This window comes from Homo sapiens, chromosome 2, assembly GCF_000001405.40.
Source record: "Homo sapiens chromosome 2, GRCh38.p14 Primary Assembly".
Lineage (NCBI taxonomy): Eukaryota > Metazoa > Chordata > Mammalia > Primates > Hominidae > Homo > Homo sapiens.
This window is the reverse complement of record NC_000002.12, coordinates 46,928,287-46,947,806: the sequence shown is the minus strand read 5'-3', so window position 1 is coordinate 46,947,806 and position 19,520 is coordinate 46,928,287. Positions and strand designations below refer to the sequence as shown.

Sequence of the window (19,520 nt, the reverse complement as noted above, 5' to 3'; positions counted from 1 at the left end):
AGTACTTTGTGTATTTTTCTTTTATTTTTCTAGCAATTCATTTTTATTGTACTTTATGAAAGTATCAGAGCATAACAGATTGGGAATTTATTTTCAGACAGGGTCTCTATCACCCAGGCTGAAGCGCAATGGCACAATCTCAGCTCACTGCAACCTCCACCTCCTGGGTTTAAAGGATTCTCCTGCCTCAGCCTACTGAGTAGCTGGGACTACAGGCACGCACCACCACACCCAGCTAATTTTTTGTATTTTTGGTAGAGACGGGGTTTTACCATGTTGGCCAGGCTGGTCTCGAACTCCTGGGCTCAAGTGATCTGCCTGCCTCGGCCTCCCAAAATGCTAGGATTACAGATGTGAACCACTATGCCTGGCCAGATTTGGAATTTAAAGAAAACAAAATTGATCCTTCACCACATATCTCTAAACCATAAGAGTGACTGGCTGCGAAAGAGGCACTAATATTTGTTGAAGGCTTAGTATGGGCCAGACACTTTTTTATATAGCATCATTTCATCTCTACAGCCCTGAAAGGTAGGTATTATCACCATTTTATAGATGATAATAAAGATATGCAATATTGTTAGGGTCACAGCCAGTAACAATAATAAAACATAACAGAGCCAAAAACACCCTGTCTCTCCTGCAACCCATGCACAGCGGAGCTGCTGGTAATTTCAAAATAAACAACAGTCTTAACAACTTAAAAGAGTACGTTAAAAGCTAGTTGTAAATCCAAGGACAGGGATAAGAACTGTCCTTACCTTCATATACCTGTGACTTTCAGACTACTTTGTTGATTGACACTTCAGGTCCTTCACAGAAGGCTTTCTGCCTGCCCCTTTCAGCCCCCAACTCAATCTACTTGTTGTTTGTTTACCATGGTAAACAAACATGGCCAGACACTCAGCAGGCAGCAAAAATTCACTTTCTTTTCCTCCTTTGCTCAACTCTCCTCTCCCTGCCCTACCTCTCTCTTGCCTTCCTCTTTTCTTTCCATCCAACTATTCTCAACTGTTCAGTCTATGGAACTGAAGGATGTTTCGGAATTAGAAGTTCTAGACTTATAGTTGTTAAACAAGAATTCAGGCCTGCTGTGGTGGCTTATGCCTATAATCCCAGCACTTTGGGAGGCCGAGGTGGTAGGACTGATTGAGACCAGGAGTTAGAGACCAGCCTGGTCAACATAGTGAGACTCTGTCGCTACACACAAAAAAAGTTAGCTGATGTTAGAGGTACACGCCTAGAGTCCCAGCTACTTGGAAGGCTGAGGTGGAAGGATGGCTTGAGCCCAAGAGTTCAACGCTGTAGGGAGCCATGACTGTGCCACTGCACTCCAGCCTAGGCAACAGGGCAATACCTCATCTCTAGAAAATAAAAATTAAAAAAATTAAAAAAAAAGAATTCAGGTGGATAAAGGCTTCCCTGTCCTTCCAAAGGGAAAACAAGTTGCTTTTTATCATCCTGTTGTCCGAAACCTACTACCTATCCCAGTTCTGGTGAAATGCTGCAGCTTCTCTCTACCCAGGGGCATTTAAGAAGACCTTGCCATCAGACCGATAGTGAATCTGACTCTGGGTGCTGATTCTGCAGCCCTGCTCAGCACCTTGCCCTCAGCAAAGCCCCAAAGCCCCAAAGCCCCATTTACTGGCCACCCAGTCTCCCAACCCCATCGTGTCTGGAAGGCCTCAGTGCCCACCTTCCTTATAGCCCCTGCAGCTCACATCCCCTCCCGGCCTCTCCAAGAGTGCCAGGTCACAGGAATACCCTTCAAGACCCCATGTTTGGATGACAGTGATCCCCTCTCCACAACCCACCCATTCACAGTCAGGAAACATTGGTCTAGCCAGCCAGGCCAGGATTCAGACCAGGCCCTTCCCCGCTGGGGCAAACGGGCACAGTGGTTTCTGCAGCTGCTCACCTCCCAGGACTATAGAAGGCTGGGACCTGCCAACCACAGCCAAGAGGAAAAGGCTGAAACTAGCAAGAGACCATCTGCCTCAAACAAACCCCTTCTAACTGAAACGGAAGAAATGTTCAAAACAATCTCCAGTCTTAAGAAGAAGAAAAAAAAAGTGGGGCGGCGGGGAGGGTGACTACAGATTAAGAGACACTCAAAGACCGGGCACGGTGGCTCACACCTATAATTCCAGCACTTTGGGAGATCAAGGCAGGAAGATTGCTTGAGTCTAGGAGTTCAAAATCAGACTGGACCACATAGTGAAATCCTATCTCTACAAAAAATAAAAAAATTAACTAGGTAGCTGGGCACGGTGGCTCACGCCCGTAATCCCAGCACTTCGGGAGGCCGAGGCGGCTGGAACATGAGGTCAACAGATAGAGACCATCCTGGCCAACATGGTGAAACCTCGTCTCTAAAAATACAAAAATTAGCTGGGTGTGGTGCCACGCACCTGTAGTCCCAGCTACTTGGGAGGCTGAGGCAGAAGAATCGCTTGAACCCGGGAGGCAGAGGTTGCAATGAGCCGAGATCGCACCACTGCACTCCAGCCTGGCAACAGAGCAAGACTCCATCTAAAAAAAAAATTAACTGGGTGTAGTGGCATACACACCTGTGATCCCAGCCATTTGGGAGGCTGAGGCAGGAGGATCACTTGAGCCCAGGGTGAAGTGAACTATGAGAGTAAGACCTTGTCTCTAAGAATAAAAAAAAAAATTAAAAAGAAAGTCTCAAGATGAGTAGAGAACAGATATGTAATAAAGCAAGCACAGCAAAAGGTTAATAGGTACACAGGTGTTCACTGCAAATTTTTTTGACCTTTACTGTATATTTGAAATTTTCATAACAAAATGTTGGGTGGGGTACAGAGACCTAACCTAACAATCAAATGCAGTTATGTCGCCTAATTTGGATCCTGACTCTAATAACTAATTGTAAAACGTAATTGTTAGATTTTTGTAAGGTGTAATAATGGTACAGTGGCTATATTTTCAAAAAGAGTTCTTATTGCTAGGTGTGGTGGCTCATGCCTGAAATCTCAACACTTTGGGAGGCCGAGGTAGGAGAATAGCTTAAGCCCAGGAGTTCAAGACCAACTTGGGCAACATAGCAAGACCCCATCTCTACAAAAAAATTTGAAAATTAGCTGGGTTTGCTGACGTGTGCCTGAGGTATGTTGCCTGGGCTGATCTCGAACTCCTGGCCTCAAGTGATCCTCCCGTCTTGGCCTCCCAAACAGCTGGGACTACAGGTGTGTGCCACCATGCCTAGCTATATTTTTTAGGGGAGTAGGGGGTAGAGATGGGATCTCACTTTGTTGCCCAGTCTGCCCTTCCTTCTAGTCAGGAGGCTGAGGTGGAAGGTTCCCTTGAGCCCACGAGTTTGAGTGTGTAGTAAGCTATAATTATACCACTGAACTCCAGTCTGGGTGAAAGAGCAAGTTCTTGTCTCAAAAAAAAAAAAAAAAAAAAAAACCCAAAATACCAGAGTTCTTATTTAATAAGTACATACTGAAAAACTGAAATGTGGAAGGAAAAGGGTTGAGCATAGCTCAGACGAGACTTCGTGAGTTCGTATCACTGCTGTTGGTTGATGGATACAAGGGACTCATTCTTTCATGTTCTTTAATGTTTTGAAAATTCTTCATAATAAAGTTGTTTTTTAATCACTTGGATGGGCTCTTTGTTTCTATATGAACAAACCCCAGCACAGCAAGCAGGACTCTGGGGTTCCCCTGCTCCATCCTGACCTAATCTAGACCGGATGTGAGTGAGGAGACAGTAGCAAGCACCTTACCCCTGGTTGGGTGGTGAGGAGCAACCTTAGACAGGAAAAGGGTACAGGGGCCTACTCTGCTAAGTATCTCCTGATCTTTCATCCCTCCAGATCAGAAAGAGTCCCCACAGCTCATCTTCCCTTTCTGCCTCCCTGAATCTACCTCTGGGTAGGAGGTACTTTTCATTTCTGTAGGAAATATCAGACACCGCTGGACCTCAAGGCCTCAGTAAAATGGGTTTCAACCCCATCTCAGAACCTCTCCCAATTCTGTAACTGTGGAAGCTTCAGATCACTGACTTGTAAGAGTCAAACAGGCCAGGTGGGATGTTAAGAATCTCCCTTCAGGGCTGCAGGGGAGTCTGCATCAAACCCCAAAAAAGAACAAGCTCTCAATCCCTTGAGTGATCAAGGAACCCTGTAGAGAAAGGACCAAAACAGCAGTCAATCCAAACAATGCTCTACGCATGGGCTTTGGGAGGCATTTTTTTTTGTTCCTCGTGTTTGTGTGTGTGCATATGCATGTATGACTATGTGTCCCAGTGTGAGTGCATGCTTTGTGATAGTGTATCTGGATTTAACTGGGAGAAAAATCATTCACAGACCCCAAAACTGGCAGGAGAGACCCTGCTGACCCTCCATCTCCTTCCTTATACTGGCCAGTTCCCACAGTGAAGCCAGCCCAGGCTCCGTGTCCCCAACTCTGACACTAGGAGACTTGGTGGCAGAGACTCAGGCTTGAGTACAGGCTTTAACCACATACACATTATATGACCTCTCTGGGCCTTGGTGTCCCTATGTCTAAAATGGGGACAATAACTCCTGCCCTCCTAATAGGGTTGTTTACAAGAATTTAAAAAATAGAGAAAGCGGCCAGACACAGTGGTTCATGCCTGTAATCCCAGCACTTTGGGAGGCCCAGGTGGGCGGAATGCTTCAGCCTAGTTGGAGATCAGCCTGGGCAACATGGCGAAACCCCGTCTCTACTAAAACTGCAAAAATTAGCCGGGCATGGTAGCCAGCACCTGTAGTCCCAGCTACTTGGGAGGCTGAGGTGGAATGATCGCTTGAGCCCAGGAAGTTGAGGCTGCAGTGAGCTGAGATCGCACTATTACACTCCAGCCTGGGTAACAGAGAGAGACCCTGTCTCAAAAACAAACAAACAAACAAACAAACAAAAACAAAAACAAAAAGACAACCAAAAAAACCCCACAAACAATTGCCCTCCGATCACTTTCTTGCCTCCCCATTCACTGTGGGAGCTCTTCAAGGGCAAGGATTTTGTGCTGTACATCTTTGAGAGGTAATAGTGCAAGTGATTTAAAGGATGTACTCAGAAACCTGGGCACAAATCCTGGTTCCACAACTTATTGGCTAGCTGATCAAGTTATTTAGTTGCTCTGTGCCTCAGTTTCCTTATCTGTAAAGTGGGACAAACAAGAGTACCTGCTTCACGGGGTTGATTAAAGTGCTCAGGACAGTGTCTGGCACACAGGAAGCACGAAGTAAGCGTTGACTATTACTATTACTATCACGATCTGTCCCTCTCAGAGCCTTCAACAGGCTGAGCAGTCTTTAAAAATTATTTATATCTGTATTCATTTATTCCCTGCCTCCTTCCACAAAGCCTCCTAAGTGATTGTGCCCACAGAGAGGACTCAGGGAGGGTAAGCTGAAGGCCCCAGGAACAGGATTTGAGGTTAGAGACTGGGGCGGGGTGTTCCCCGCTGCCACATCAGGGTGCTTTCCCGCCCCAGCACAAGAGCCCGGCCCAGCCAAACCAGCCCTACTGCTAAAGCCACCGACTGCTAGAGCTGGATGTGTCCCGAGATCGCCACAGATGAGGAAACTGAGGCTGGCCAAGCCTCTTCCCCATTTCTCCACCACCCCACCCTGGAGCTCGTCAAACCCTCGCCCCTGTCTGCTTCGGACGGAGCTCCGTTTTCAACGTCACTTGCGAGAACTATGGACAAAGACGACACAGACACACTTCACCTGATGGAGTTTAGGGACACCCCACCCTCGGACCGCGGTGGGGGGCAGAGTCCAGCCAATGCACTGATCTCATGATATGCAGATACCACCATTTCACGGTAGACAGAGTTAGCCACATTATCCTAAAGGACACAGAGCAAAAGCCGTTTCTCTTCCCTCCAAGCCCCCAAACCACATGTGATTTTTCTCTCGCGGCAGAAGGACCTTCCTAACTGCCCTGGCTGCTCTTAAGACTAGCACGGTGGGCTGGCAGGCGCCCGCTGTCGGCCGAGGACTGTCTGGGCGCGCTTCCTGGAGGAGGCGGTGCGTTTCGCGCGCTCGCTGCCGGCGAGCCAGCCTCTTCCCTTACTCACCGGTGTCCGGAAAGGTGAACGCTGCGCTCGGGCTGCCTCGCCTGTTACCTCCGCCGCCGGGCATGCTCAGCGTCTGCAGCTGCCGGACCAGCTCCGGCATGCGGTCCCAGTGGCCCTCGGCGCGGCAGCGCTCCAGCTCGCTCTCCACCTTCAGGTAGGAGCCGTGCGCGCCCTTCGCAGCCATCTTCTCGCGGGCGCTGTCATGGAAGGTGCGGCCAAGAAGTGGAGACCCGGCCGGGGGCGGCGTCCTGGCTGGGGCGCACTCGCGGGCGGGGTCGACGGGGGCGCAGACGGCAGCCGGGGCCCGGGCGGCAGCGGGGGCCCGGGCGGCGGAGGGTGGGCAGCAGCAGCAGCAGCAGCACCAGCAGCTCCCAGCGCACCGCCCGGCGCCTCCGGGCTGCGGCTCCGGCCGAGCGGCCCGTACGCGTACAGGAGCAACCTCCGCCTCTGCTGTAGCAGCTCCTGGCGCTGCCGCCGCCGCCGCCGCTGCAGCTGCTGCCACAGCCTCCGCCCCGGGCCCCGGCGCCGCCAGCTGCGGACCCGCCCCTGGCCGCGGCTCCACCCCCGCGGGGGCGTGGGGAGGCCTCGGCGAGCCGGGCTCGCTGGCTGCCAGCGCGGCCACAGCAGCCAGGCGCGCGAAGGGCGCTCGCGGCCGCCCGGGTACCCGCCCCCCGCCGCCGCCCCCGCCGCGGAGTCGGAGCTCACTTTAATCCCGCGCGGAGCCCCGGCGCCCGGGGGCGCCTCGCTTCCCGCCCCCTCCCCATCCCATCGGGGCTCTTAGCCTGGGAGACCACTGCCCGACGACCTGGCTTTGTGTGGTGGCCCCGTCACCGCTGCTGCCCCTGACACGTCACAAAAATGGGGAGAGGCCGGCCGACAGGCCCCAACCCCGACGGCGAGCCTCCCGGGAGCTGGCCTGCCGCTGTCCGCCCCGCCCTGTTGCGATGCGGGCCAGGCATGCTCGCGAGGACCCAGGCCCGTTCCCAGGCCCGCGACTCTCTGGACGCCCCTCTGCTGGGAGCATTTGTATTTTCTTATTTTAGCGGAGTTCCTCTTTCCAACTTGACTTCCCTAACCCGTTGACCTGTCCTCTGTGGAATCTCTGTTGCCCTGGATTTCTTAAAGGCTTTAGGCTGTTTCACCACCTTGGTATTTATTTATTTCTTCATGCTGGTCTAAGACTGTGATCAAAGCTCTATGGAGTGCTTAGCAGGGTTTAGCCCAGGGCTGTGGGGTGCCCAGAAGTTCACAGGACTACGGGGCGGGGCCTAGCGGGGGCAGCCGAGGTCCACCCTTGGGGGGAGACCTCTTACAGGGGCCCGGCCCCGCTGCCGCCGCAGCTCACAGACCAGTGCTGGAGAAGCCACAGCAAGACCCGAAACCAAAAACCACCGGCATTTAAGTGACACATTGTATGGTCCAGACTGAAGACTCAAAAGACAGCAGGGTCAGGGCAAACTTTTGAGCAGACTCCTAAGAGTTAGAAGGTGCTCCACGTCCTCCCTCTGGAGTCTTCACCACTGCCCTAAGTGTTTTTGGACAACTGTAACCGAGGGAAGGTTTTTATGTCAAGCAGAACCCAGGCTCCTAGTGCATAGTCCCGTGTGGCCTTTCACATGAAGCCACACAGGGTGATTAGTTGAAGACAGTCTTCCTGTTCCCACTGACCCCCGACTCCCATGTGGAGGCCCTCCTCTCCGGGTTCTAAATGCAGCTCCAGTCCTTGTTTGGTGGGCAGGATTTCCTAACGGTGGGTGCTGCTCTGAGCACCTGGGGACTGTTCTGAACCCCCAGAGGCCAGGAGGTAGATGAAGGGAAGCTGAAGCTGCTCTGGCAGTTGGAATTTAGAGACAGTTTAGTCAAGCAGTCTGTAAACTCCTGGCTTACTCCAGTCAACTCCTCAAGCTGGCTTTTTGTTACCCTTTGGCTGCCTTTGATGGTCACCAGAACCGGATTTCACTTGGAGAGAGCGGTTGGATTAGGGTGACCCGAGAACACACTGTGATTTGCCCCACGCCTGGCATTCCTGGGAGTCAGCCCTGGGGCAGGGAGTGAACAGCAGGGTTGATAAGAGGGAGGCGACCTTGGCAGAAATAAGACCTCCTTTCCTGCCTCTTTTTTCCTAGTCCTTTGCCAGCCCTGCCCCCAGGTTGTAGAGCACCTAGTGAACTAACTGTAGAGGGAATCACTGCTTGTTGCTTTAAGGGGGTCACCAATACTCATGTATGTGTGGGCATAAAGGAGTGTGGGGAGGAACAGTCTTCATGGCTCACATTTTTAATGAGCTCTTCCTCAACATACGCCGGACCCCTTCACAGCTATTTTCCAGTAGGGACAAAACCCCAGCCCTCTGATGACCAACATTTCTCAGGGGTGTAAAAAAACTAGGAACAAGAACCCACCTTGGCCTCCCAAAGTGCTAGGATTACAGGCTTGAGCCACTGCGCCTGGCCAATTTTATTCCTTCCTTAGTGACTTGTTTTAGAGGCTATTGTACAATTTTGGGTAGAGGTTTAGATGGGTCAGTCTGAACCTTGATGGGTTTAGCTCCTGTAGAGTATCAGTAAAATTTTTACTTTATTTTACTATTATTTTTAATTTATTATTTTGTTTGTAGAGACGGGATCTTGCTGTGTTGCCCAGGCTGGTCTTAAACTCCCAGCTTCAAGCGGTCCTCCCACCCTGGCCCGCAAAGTACTTTTTTTTTTTTTTTTTGAGACAGAGTCTCGCTCTGTTGCCCAGGCTGGAATGCAGTGGCACGATCTCAGCTCACAACAACCTCCGCCTCCCAGGTTCAAGCAATTCTCCTGCCTTAGCCTCCCGAGTAGCTGGGACTACAGGCGTGCACCACCATGCTCAGCTAATTTTTGTATTTTTAGTAGAGACGGGTTTCACTATGTTGGCCAGGCTGGTCTCAAACTCCTGACCTCATGATCTGCCCGCCTTGGCCTCCCAAAGTGCTGGGATTACAGGCATGAGCCACCCTGCCCAGCCTCCAAAGTGCTTTGATTGCAGGTATGAACCACCCACCACACAGGGCCCATAGAATTTATTGACTATAAGAGAACTTCAACTTAATGCTTGATTTACACACCAAAGTACTGATAAATCAATATCCAAATTAGCTATGACCTTATTATGGATAGGAAGGGCCTCAGGGACTAGAAGGAAAAAAATCCTCAGGAGAGCATGTCATGTGGTAACTCCATTCACACAATGAATCCCTTGCTATTAAGTTATTAAAGTATAGTGTCACAAAGTAGAAGAGAATACCCCCTCGGTTGAAGGTCCGAGGCACAGGTTTAGGCTGTGGCAAAGGGAAGTTGTGTTGAGGATTATTAGATAGGCGTATGACCCAAGAAGTTTACTGATATTAAGGAAAAAAAAAGGTATAATAGTGATCAAGTTTAAGATTGATATTTTGTTCCTATATCCATCAAGTTTGTAAGGTTGTCCTTTACGTTTTAGAGAAATGTTTCCTTGTGGGTTTAAAGGCTGAGTGGGAAATTGAACACCTTCATTGGTGACTTGATTTTTGCTTTTTTCTTTTTCTTTAGTTTCTTAATTCTAGGGCTCTTTCAAAATGTTCAAGGAGGTTTTGGAGATCTGGCCATGGGGCTGTTTCCCATTCTAGTTTTTGTTTGCATAATAAATCCCCTATTTCTGGTTTAAGGCCATTCACAAAAAGAGAAAAGAGTCCCATCACCTCTGCTTCAAGATCTACTCCAGAATTCTGCCACTAGATAGTAAAGGACCTAGCCCTGAAGTCTCCATCAGACTTCTCTCTTTTACATATATATACACAGTAGTTTTCTTCAGTCCATGACCTGCTGAACAGACTTCTCTCTTGACAAAGAACTAATTACAGCACATTTTGCTTTCACAGGGAAGACTGCCGATAGCCTCCAAAAGACCTTGACTAACGTTCACAGCTTCCCCAAACCCCTTCAGCTTCCTATGCAATCCATGGCCTTTGAAATCACTGTTGGGCCAGGCATGGCAGCTCGTGCCTATAATCCTAACACTTTGGGAGAAGGAGGTGGGAGAATCACTTGAGTCCAGGAATTCAAGACCAGCCTGGACAATCTAGTGAGACCCTGTCTCTACAAAATAAATAAAAAATCATCATTGGGGGGTTTTCCATTCTGACTTTTTCATCCAATGTTTTGCTTCTGAGGCCCCTACTGGCATATAAATGAATTGCTATAAATCTGGCTGCTCTGGATGATATGTTCCTAAAACAATTCGAAGTCCCATTTAGGCCTTGAAGAGTCTTTTACAATGGCTTTCAGCTAAAAATGAAAACAGGGCTTAAAATCCACCATAGAGATTTTTTTTTTCTATTCTGAAGTTAAGTGAGCTTTGGGGTATCTAGCCAGCCAGGAGGAAAGGGGAGTGGATCTGAGGGAGAGAAAAGGGCAGAGGGAGATGGAGGAGCATAGGGTAGGGGAAAAGAAATAGCAGGTTTCAGCTGTGATATTGGGGCAGGGGAGGTCTAAAAGATAGTTTTAAGTAGTTCAGCTTTTTATTTTGCTTTGGCCAAGAAATCTGTTAAGGAAGTAATTTTTGGGGTTGGGCATGGTGGCTCACTCCTGTAATCCTAGCACTTTGGGAGGCCAAGGTGGGCAGATCACTTGAGCTCAGGAGTTCGAGACGAGCCTGGGCAATATGGCAAAAACCCATCTCTACAAAAAATACAAAAATTAGCCTGGCATGGTGGGCAGGTGCCTGTGGTCCCACCTACTTGAGGGGCTGAGGTGGGAGGATCGCTTGAGCCCAGGAGGCAGAGGTTGCAGTGAGCTGAGATCGTGCCACTGCACTCCAGCCTGGGTGACAGAGAGCCTATCTCAAAAAAAAAAAAAAAAATTTGGAATCCTGTTTCTTTTGTATGCTTGCTCATGCTAATGAAAAAAAAGAAGACCACTGGATGTTTGGAATTGTGTTCACTTTGCATTCTAAAGTGAATACTTTTGTGCATATCAGAAATTCCTCATAGTGGCTACCGCAATTCTAAATTATCTTTGGGGAAATGATGATGCTGTCTATAAAAGTAAGTGTACACATTTGGGTGACAGCATAAATACATGCAAGAAGCAGAAGTCTGGCCCGAGGAAGCCATAGACAGGTTGATATTAAGACAGAACCATGAGAGTCTGCGAATGGTGAGCTGACAGTTGCTTGTGTATCCTGTGGCTCAGGACCCCCCAGCCTCATAGCTAGACCTTTTCCAACTGTAATCCTGATGAATTTACAGTTCCCAGCAGACAGAGGGTCCGGAGAGATTGTCCTGAACCAAACTCTTAAAGACAAAATAAGACACGTCTGAGAAAAGTTCTCATAAAGTTTTGATCAGAGACAAAATTTGTCCCTGGGCCAGCTAAGGGACAGACTGAGACCTACACCTATCTTCTTCTCTAAAAACTTTCCTCTTACAGATGCACAACAAAAAAATGACAAGGATGAACACAGACAAGTAGTAGCGTTGTTAGTAATAAGGCAGATATCCACAAGGGGGAAAAGATTTTCAAATATGGTCAGATAAAGAGTTCTTTATTGGTAGAAGAGAAAATAAGCTCAGTATTTGGGAAGCTAAATAAGCAAATATATTTATTTCTTATTATTTTTTATGTTTTTAGAGACAGGGTCTTGCTCTGTCACCTGGGCTGGAGTGCTATGGTGCAATCATAGCTCACTGCAGCCTTGAACTCCTGGGCTCAAGCCATCCTCCAGCCTCAGCCTCCCGAGTAGCTGGGACTACAGGCACACGCCACCACCCCTAGCTATGTTTTCTAATTTTTTAAGAGACTGAATCTTGCTATGTTGCCCAGGCTGGTCTCAAAACTCCTGGCCACTAGCAATCCTCCCACCTCAGCCTCCCTAGTCTCTAGGATTATAGGTGTGAGCCATCACACCTAAAAGAAAAATTAAAAAAAGAAATTGGAGCTTGGGTCCAATACAAGACTTGCATCTCTCATTGTTTCAGTCTGAAAGAACTCCAAGCAGGAAGCTTAAGAGCCTCAGAGGATCACCCTGTTTCCGAGTCAGGGGTCTTGGACTGCAGTGTTGAGGAGGTCTCAGTTGGATCACTGCGGGCCTCAATAATTGAATGCTATCTAGAAAAGTAAATGTACACATTTGGGTGACAGCAAATACCATCAAGACAATTTTTGTGATAACGCAAAGCTTAGCTTGTTCTCATGGCAGGAAGGGAGAACACTACCCTGACAGAGTCATAGCAGTGTCTGGAATAGGGAAGGCAAAGTTGGAATAGTTATGAAGTGTTGGGGTCTGTTTTGTTTTTTTATTTTTTTTGCTTAAGCTCAGTGGCAAGAAAGGAGTTTATTTTAAAGCAGCTCTTCCAATGACGGGACTTGATTAGGACTGGGCAAGGATCATGATACAACAGTATCATAGTTCACTGCAGCCTTGAACTCCTGGGCTCAGGATGAAAGAGTGTGGGGAGGAACAGTTGTCATGGCTCACATTTGTAATGAGCTGTTCCTCCACACACGCCTGACCCCTTCACAGCTCTTTTCCAGCAGGGACAAGCCTTCAGCCATCTAGTGACCAACGCTTCTCAGGGGTGTTGGTCTAGTAATCAAAGGCCTTAAAGACCAGTAGTCTTAGGGCTCGGCGTGGTGGCTCACACCTGTAATCCCCACACTTTGGGAGGCCGAGGTGGGTGGATCACGAGGTCAAGATATCAAGACCATCCTGGCCAACATGATGAAACCCTGTCTCTACTAAAAATACAAAAATTAGCTGGACGTGGTGGTGCGCGCCTGTAGTTCCAGCTACTCAGGAGGCTGAGGCAAGAGAATCGCTTGAACCCGGGAGGCGGAGGTTGCAGTGAGCCCAGATCATGCCACTGCACTCCAGCCTGGCGACAGAGCGAGACTCAGTCTCAAAAAAAAAAAAAAAAAAAAAAAAAAAAAAAAGAGCAGTAGTCTTCATACCTTATTCCAGGATTGGGATTGTTGGGATAGGGCAAAAGTGATGGTTTTGAAGTGCGGGTTTTTTTGTTTGTTTGTTTTTGTTTTTGAGACAGAGTCTCCCTCTGTCATCCAGGCTTACTGCAACCTATGAGGGGAGGGTTTTTAAAGTGTTTTAGAGAATAAAAAGCAGTTTGAGTCTATCTATTGAAAAGTCACAGGCCGGGTTGGGTGGCTCACACCTGTAATGCCAGCAATTTGGGAGGTTGAGGTGGGTGGATCACTTGAGGTCAGGAGTTGGAGACCAGCCAGTTCAAGACCAGCCTGGCCAACATGGCAAAACCCTGTCTCTACTAAAAATACAAAAATTAGCTGGGCGTGGTGGCATGCATCTATAATACCAGCAATTCAGGTGGCTGATGCACAAGCATTGCTTGAACCCGGAAGGCAGAGGTTGCAGTGAGCTGAGATTGTGCCACTGCACTCCAGCCTGAGCAACAGAGCAAGACTCTGTCTCAAAAACAAAAGTCATCGAGTTCATTTAAATGGTTTCTTCTGAAAACTTCTGCAAAAAACAGTGAAGTTATTTACAACTTTTATCATCCTGGGTAAGAGTTTCCTGCAATAGTAAAGCCATGTCAAGGTCAACAGTACCTTAGGTGTAGATGGTTTCTGTTCTTCCTGTGTACTGACTCAAAAATTTATTATGGATGATTATTATGACATTCTCCTCGCCTTCATCAAATCATTCTTATACTAGTTGTCACAATGGCTGTGAGTAGTTGGGCTGGAGGTCACCAAGTGCTCCCAGCCATCAGAAGTAGAGCACCAAGCCTAATGAGATGCCCTCCCCACCTTCCACTCTGGCCTCTTCTTTCATACTTACCATGTGGGGTCCCTTAGAGCCCTGTGTTCCCAGCACATGCTAGATTTCTGACCAGTGCTCTGACTTTTTTATGACACTCCACCTTGCTGTCACCCTAGAAATCCTAAATTTAAATATAAATTAAACATTTGCTTCATGATCAACAGTCATTTCAGCCACTCAGATCATCAGTATATGCGAAGTAGAGCACAATGACAACTGCCTTCCCAACTTTATGTAGTCATGTGCATGGCTCAGGATCGCTACATTCGGAAATCAACTTTTACTCATTACCATGATCATTGGCTCAGAGCACATCCTGCCCATGGTATCTTATGTCTTACTTAATTTCAATACTGAACCAGCCCTCCCAGAATGTTGTCATTAAAACTCTGCCAGGAGCTGGCTATATGGTCTTTTCCTTTGTCAGCTGCCAGAAAAACTACATGTAATCATTACGCTAAGAGATGAAGTCCTACAAAGGCAAGCTTCAGAATCATGAATTCTTTGTGCTTGCACATAGTAGACACTCAGTAATTATTTGTTATATTAATTTTAGAATCTCAGAATGTTGAAGATTTTCCCACACTTGGAGATGAGAGCTTTGGGGTGTTTTTTATCCCCAGCCACTCACTTCATGATTGAGATACCAATATCTCTCCAGGCACTGCCCTCCCTCCCACCATCCCAGTCCCTTCTGTTCCTCGGGGTCCCAGGTGACTCTTAATTCTTGTTAGTGGCTTCTATGTCATTTTGCAAGACTGCTACAATGGGCCCCTCTCCAGAGCAGGAGCCCATGATTTCTCCATCTTGCCCAGTGCTGGTTCTCTGCCCAGCTACTGCCATCCTGAGGGAGAGAAGCCATCCCAACCCACAAGGGCTCAGAGCCTTTTCAGTGCAGCTTAGCTGGTCTGGTTTTAAGTCCCATCACTCCTAAGGCTAGCCTTGAGTGTCTGGCCACTCAGAGATTATAGCAGTTTTGAGCCTTAAAATATATCTTTGCTCCATCTGTTTTTTTTTTTTTTTTTGAGATGGAGTCTCACTCTGTTGCTCAGGCTGGAGTGCAGTGGTGCGATCTGCGCTTGCTGCAACCTCTGCCTCCTGGGTTCAAGCGATCCTCCTGCCTCAGCTGCTTGAGTAGCTGGGACTACAAGCATGCACCACCACTCTTGGCTAATTTTTGTATCTTTAGCAGAGATGGGGTTTCACCTTGTTGGCCAAACTGGTCTCGAACTCCTAAACTCAGGTGATCCACCCATCTTGGCCTCCCAAATTGCTGGGATTACAGGCCTGAGCCACTGCACCTGGCCTCCACCTGCTTCTATATTAATCTTTCTTTCTCTTTCTTTTCTTCCTCTTTTTCTTCTCTTTTAAAAACATTTTTTGTTGTGTAAAATAACACAAAAGAAAGTGCATAGATGTAATCATTATACAGCAAACTCTTATTAACCATCAACTAGGGTCAATAAATAAGGTTTCAGGCTGGGCACAATGGCTTACGCCTGTAATCCCAGCACTTTGGGAGGCCAAGGTGCGAGGATCATATGAGGTCAAGAGTTTGAGACCAGCCTGGTCAACATGGTGAAACCCCATCTCTACTAAAAATACAAAAATTAGCCAAGTATGGTGGGGGCACCTGTAATCCCAGCTACTTGGGAGGCTGAGGCACAGGAATTGCTTGAACCGAGGAGGAAGAGGTTGCAGTGAGCCAAGACCCCGCCACTGCACTCCAGCCTGGGTGACAGAGCAAGACTCTGTCTCAAAAAAAAAAAAAAGAATCCCAGAAGCCCTACATTGCTTTCTGATATCTTTTCTCAGATTTAGGAAGTTTTTTCTATTCCTAGTTTGTTAAAGGTTTTTTAAAAACATTATGATTGAAATTGAATTTTACGAATACTTCTTTGCACTTACTGAGATTGTCATATGATTTTTCTTCCTTAGATCCATTAATATGGTGAAATACTTTGATTTTCAAAGGTTAAACCGTCCTCACATTTCTGGAATCAACTTAGTTGTATTAATTTCCTATTGCTTCTTAACAAATTAGCACACATTTAAATGGCTTTAAACAACATGTATTCATTATCTTAAAATTCCTGAGGTCAGAAGTCCAAAGTAGGTCTTATGAACTAAATCAAGGTGTTGGCAGAGCTGCATTTCTTCTCAAATCTACTACTCATGATTTGACAGGGATTTATCAATTTTATTTATTTATTTATTTATTTATTTATTTATTATTGTCTGTTTTTGTTTTTTCCCCCAAAGAACCAGCTGGCCTCTAGAAACATGAAAAGGGAAGATCAGTTCTAGAGGCCGACTGCATTCCTTGGCTGGTGACCCCTTTCTACATCTTCAAAGCTCATCACTCCAACCTTTGCTTCCATGGGCACCTCTACTCTGACTCTGACCCTCCTGTTTCCCTCTTAGAAAGACTCTTGTGATTATATTGGGCTCATGGAGATCATCCAAGATAATCTCCCCATCTCAAGGTCCTCAATTTAATCACCTCTGCAAAGTCCTTTTTGCATGTAAAATAACATTCAATCTGAGCATGGTGGCTTATGGCTGTAAGCCCAGCACTTTCAGAAGCTGAGGCGAGAGGATTGCTTGAGGCCAGGAGTTCGAGACTAGCCTGGGCAATAGAGCCAGACCCTGTCTATATTTAAAAGAAAATTTTTTTTAATTAGCTAGGCATGATGGTATATGCCTATAATCCCAGCTACAGCTGAAAGCTGCAGTGAGCCATGATTGCACCACTGCACTCCTAAATAAATAACACTCATAGATTTCAAGGATTAGGACATAAACATCTTTGGGGGCCATTATTCTGTCTATCACATTGATCAATATGTATTTTCCTTTTTATATATTGTTTGATTTGAATTGCTAATAAAATGTTTTGTTTAGAATTCTGGTATCCATGAGATACGGCTAAATTTTCTCATCTGGAACTGTCTTCATTGGCTTTTGGTCATCAAAATTATGATAGCTTTGTAAATGAATCAGAGGGTATATATATTTTTTTCTTTTCTCCAAAGAGTTCATATAAAGCATTATTTTTCCATTCAGCTATTTATGGGAAGGTTTAAAAATTACTGATTGGATTTCTTTAAAAATTATAGGACTTCAGGCTGGGTGCGGTGGCTCACGCCTGTAATCCCTGCACTTTGGGAGGCTGAGGCGGGTGGATCACCTGAGGTCAGGAGTTCGAGACCAGCTTGGCCAACAGGCTGAAACCCTGTCTCTACTAGAAATACAAAAATTAGCTGCACGTGGTTGCAGGCGCCTGTAATCCCAGCTACTTGGGAGGCTGAGGCAGGAGAATCGCTTGAACCTGGGAGGCAGAGGTTGCAGTGAGCCAAGATCGCGCCACTGCATTCCAGCCTGGGGTACAAGAGTGAGACTTTGTCTAAAAAAAAAAAAAAAAAAAATTATAGGACTTCAAATTTCCATTTCTTCTTTGGTCAATTTTTGGTAAGTTTTTTTTTTTTTTCCTAGGAATACGTTTCATCTAGCTTTTTACATTTTAGGCATGAAGTTAATTATAAAATCTGCTTATCTTTTAAGTGTTCGTAGAATTTATAGTGCTATTTGAATTTTCATTACTGGTATTCATATTCATTATTTGTGCATTATCTCTTTTTAAAATTTTTCTTGATAATTTTCCAGGGATTTATAAATTTTATTACTTTTGAAAAAAGAACCAGTTTTTGTTTATAATGATCCTCTCTATTACATGTTGCTTTCCACTGCATTAATTTTGTTATCTTTATTATTTCATTTATCTTATTGTATTCAAGTTTCTTCTGTACTTAAATAACAGTAGGGAAAGGTTAGGTTATGATACATAGTAAAAAACTCCCCCCAAAATCTCAGGGCTTTCACCAACTTAGTTTATTTCTCACTCCTGCCACCTATTCCACCCAGCTTGGCTGGGCTTTTCTCCATATTTCTTCACTCTGGGGCTCAAGCTAGCAAAGCAGCCACTGTCTAAAACATTGACAATTATCATGGCAGAAGGAGAAGAGATGATATGGTGAACCATATGTTGATTCTTAAAACTTCTGTCTAGGTGTGACACATAACACTTCTGTACATATTCCACTGACCAGAGGAAGAAATATGACTCAGCCTAATACCAATGCCCAGAGATGGGCAGTGAATCTTTGTGAATAATAATATAGCATCCCATATCTTATTTTTCTGGCTTTTTGCAATTCAATCTCAGCTCATTAATTTTCAATCTTTCTTATTTTTAAGATACATGCATTTAAGGATATATATTTCTGTGTTAGCTGTACCCCCGTGTTAGCTATAAGCACTGATACACAGAAATTTTGTTAACATTCAGTTCAAAAATTTTTTTACATTTCCTTTATGATATCTTATTTGACCTACATGTTATTTAGAAGAGCTATTTATTTCTTTATTTATTTATGTATTTTGAGACAGGGTCGTGCTCTGTTGCCCAGGCTGGAGTGTAGTTGCGCTATCATAGCTCACTGCAGCCCCAAACTTCTGGGCTCAAGCAATCCTGCCTCAGCCTCCCAAGTAGCTAGAACTACAGGTGTGTACCACCACAGCCAGGTAGTTTTTAAATTTTTCCTATAGACATGGGGTCTGGCTATGTTGACCAGGCTGGTCTCAGAACTGTGGGCCTCAAGCAGTCTTCCTACCTTAGCTTCCCAAAGTGCTAGGATTACATGCATGAGCCACTGTACCCAGCCTAGAAGTGTTTTTTTGTTTTGTTTTGTTTTCTTTTTTTGGGACAGAGTCCCACTCTATTGCCCCAGGCTGGGGTGCAGTGGTGCAATCTTGGCTCACTCCAACCTCCACCTTCCAGGTTCAAGCGATTCTCCCACCTCAACCTACCAAACAGCTGAGATTACAGGCACCCACCACCACACCCAGCTAATTTTTGTATTTTTAGTAGAGACAGAGTTTTGCCATGTTGGCCAGGCTGGTCTCAAAATCCTCACCTCAAGTAATCCACCCACCTCAGCCTCCCAAAGTGCTGGGATTGCAGGCATGACTAGAAGTGTTTTTAAATTTCAAAATAAATGTGGCTTTTAAAGCTTCCCCCCCTACCCCTCTGGTGTAACTGCATTATACCAGTGAGTAAACTTTATATGATTTCAAACGTGGGACTTTTTTTTTTTCTTTTGAAACAGTCTCACATTACCCACGCTGGAGTGCAGTAGTGCAATCACAGCTCACTGCAGCCTCAACCTCCTGTGTTCAAGCCATCCTCCAACCTCAGTCTCCCAAACAGCTGGGACCACAGGTGTGTGTCACCACATCTGGTCAATTTTTATATTTTTCGTAGAGACAGGGTTTTGCCATGTTGCCTAGGTTGGTCTCGAACTCCTGAGTTCCAGCAATCCACCTGTCTCGGCTTCCCACAGTGCTGGATATAAGTGTGAGCCACCACACATGGCCCAAGTTTTTTTTTTTTTTTTTTTTTTTTTTAATTTCCCTTTCCACCACCTGAGCTTGAAAGAGGGCTTTGAGCCTCACATGAGATTCTAGCCTCAGTTAACACCCTGATTTCAGTCTTGTGATACTGTGTGGAGGACATAGTTGATCCTGGCCTGGAGTTCTTTTTCTTTTTTTTGTAATGTTTTTTCACAACCTGCCTAGAT

At 46.3% G+C, this 19,520-nt stretch overlaps 2 protein-coding genes across 16 annotated transcripts in view, besides 3 other annotated features; one reads left to right on the top strand and one right to left on the bottom strand.

Moving 5' to 3' along the window:
- Nucleotides 1-19,520, bottom strand: part of TTC7A (tetratricopeptide repeat domain 7A) — a 160,258-nt gene that overhangs the window by 128,317 nt on the left and 12,421 nt on the right. For 11 of the 14 annotated variants that reach the window (XR_007078570.1, NM_001288951.2, NM_020458.4 and 8 more), the window contains exon 1: nt 6,082-6,583. The exons of 2 other annotated variants lie outside the window; for them this stretch is intronic. Coding sequence is in view for 10 of the 12 variants with exons in the window: in NM_001288951.2 (NP_001275880.1) it covers nt 6,082-6,265 (184 nt within the window). In the remaining 2 variants the exon portion in view is untranslated. Of the gene's footprint in view, nt 1-2,570; nt 3,409-6,081; nt 6,584-19,520 lie in introns of those variants that run through there. One more of the 14 variants, XM_017004525.2, reaches the window with a different exon arrangement.
- Nucleotides 5,300-5,379: an enhancer, noted in NCBI's record as "active region_15716". NCBI's record gives its function as "activates an Ori minimal core promoter by ATAC-STARR-seq in GM12878 lymphoblastoid cells {active_cell/tissue: GM12878}" and the evidence as "EXISTENCE:reporter gene assay evidence [ECO:0000049][PMID:35858748]".
- The window catches only part of MCFD2 (multiple coagulation factor deficiency 2, ER cargo receptor complex subunit), a 39,986-nt gene continuing 26,417 nt past the window's right edge, over nt 5,952-19,520 (top strand). Inside the window, exon 1 of one of the 2 annotated variants that reach the window (NM_001171508.2) lies at nt 5,952-6,235. Coding sequence is in view for 1 of the 2 variants with exons in the window: in NM_001171511.3 (NP_001164982.1) it covers nt 6,144-6,235 (92 nt within the window). In the remaining variant the exon portion in view is untranslated. The remainder of the gene's footprint in view (nt 6,236-19,520) is intronic. The other variant, NM_001171511.3, reaches the window with a different exon arrangement.
- Nucleotides 6,370-6,899: a silencer, noted in NCBI's record as "silent region_11459". NCBI's record gives its function as "represses an Ori minimal core promoter by ATAC-STARR-seq in GM12878 lymphoblastoid cells {active_cell/tissue: GM12878}" and the evidence as "EXISTENCE:reporter gene assay evidence [ECO:0000049][PMID:35858748]".
- Nucleotides 6,980-7,049: a silencer, noted in NCBI's record as "silent region_11458". NCBI's record gives its function as "represses an Ori minimal core promoter by ATAC-STARR-seq in GM12878 lymphoblastoid cells {active_cell/tissue: GM12878}" and the evidence as "EXISTENCE:reporter gene assay evidence [ECO:0000049][PMID:35858748]".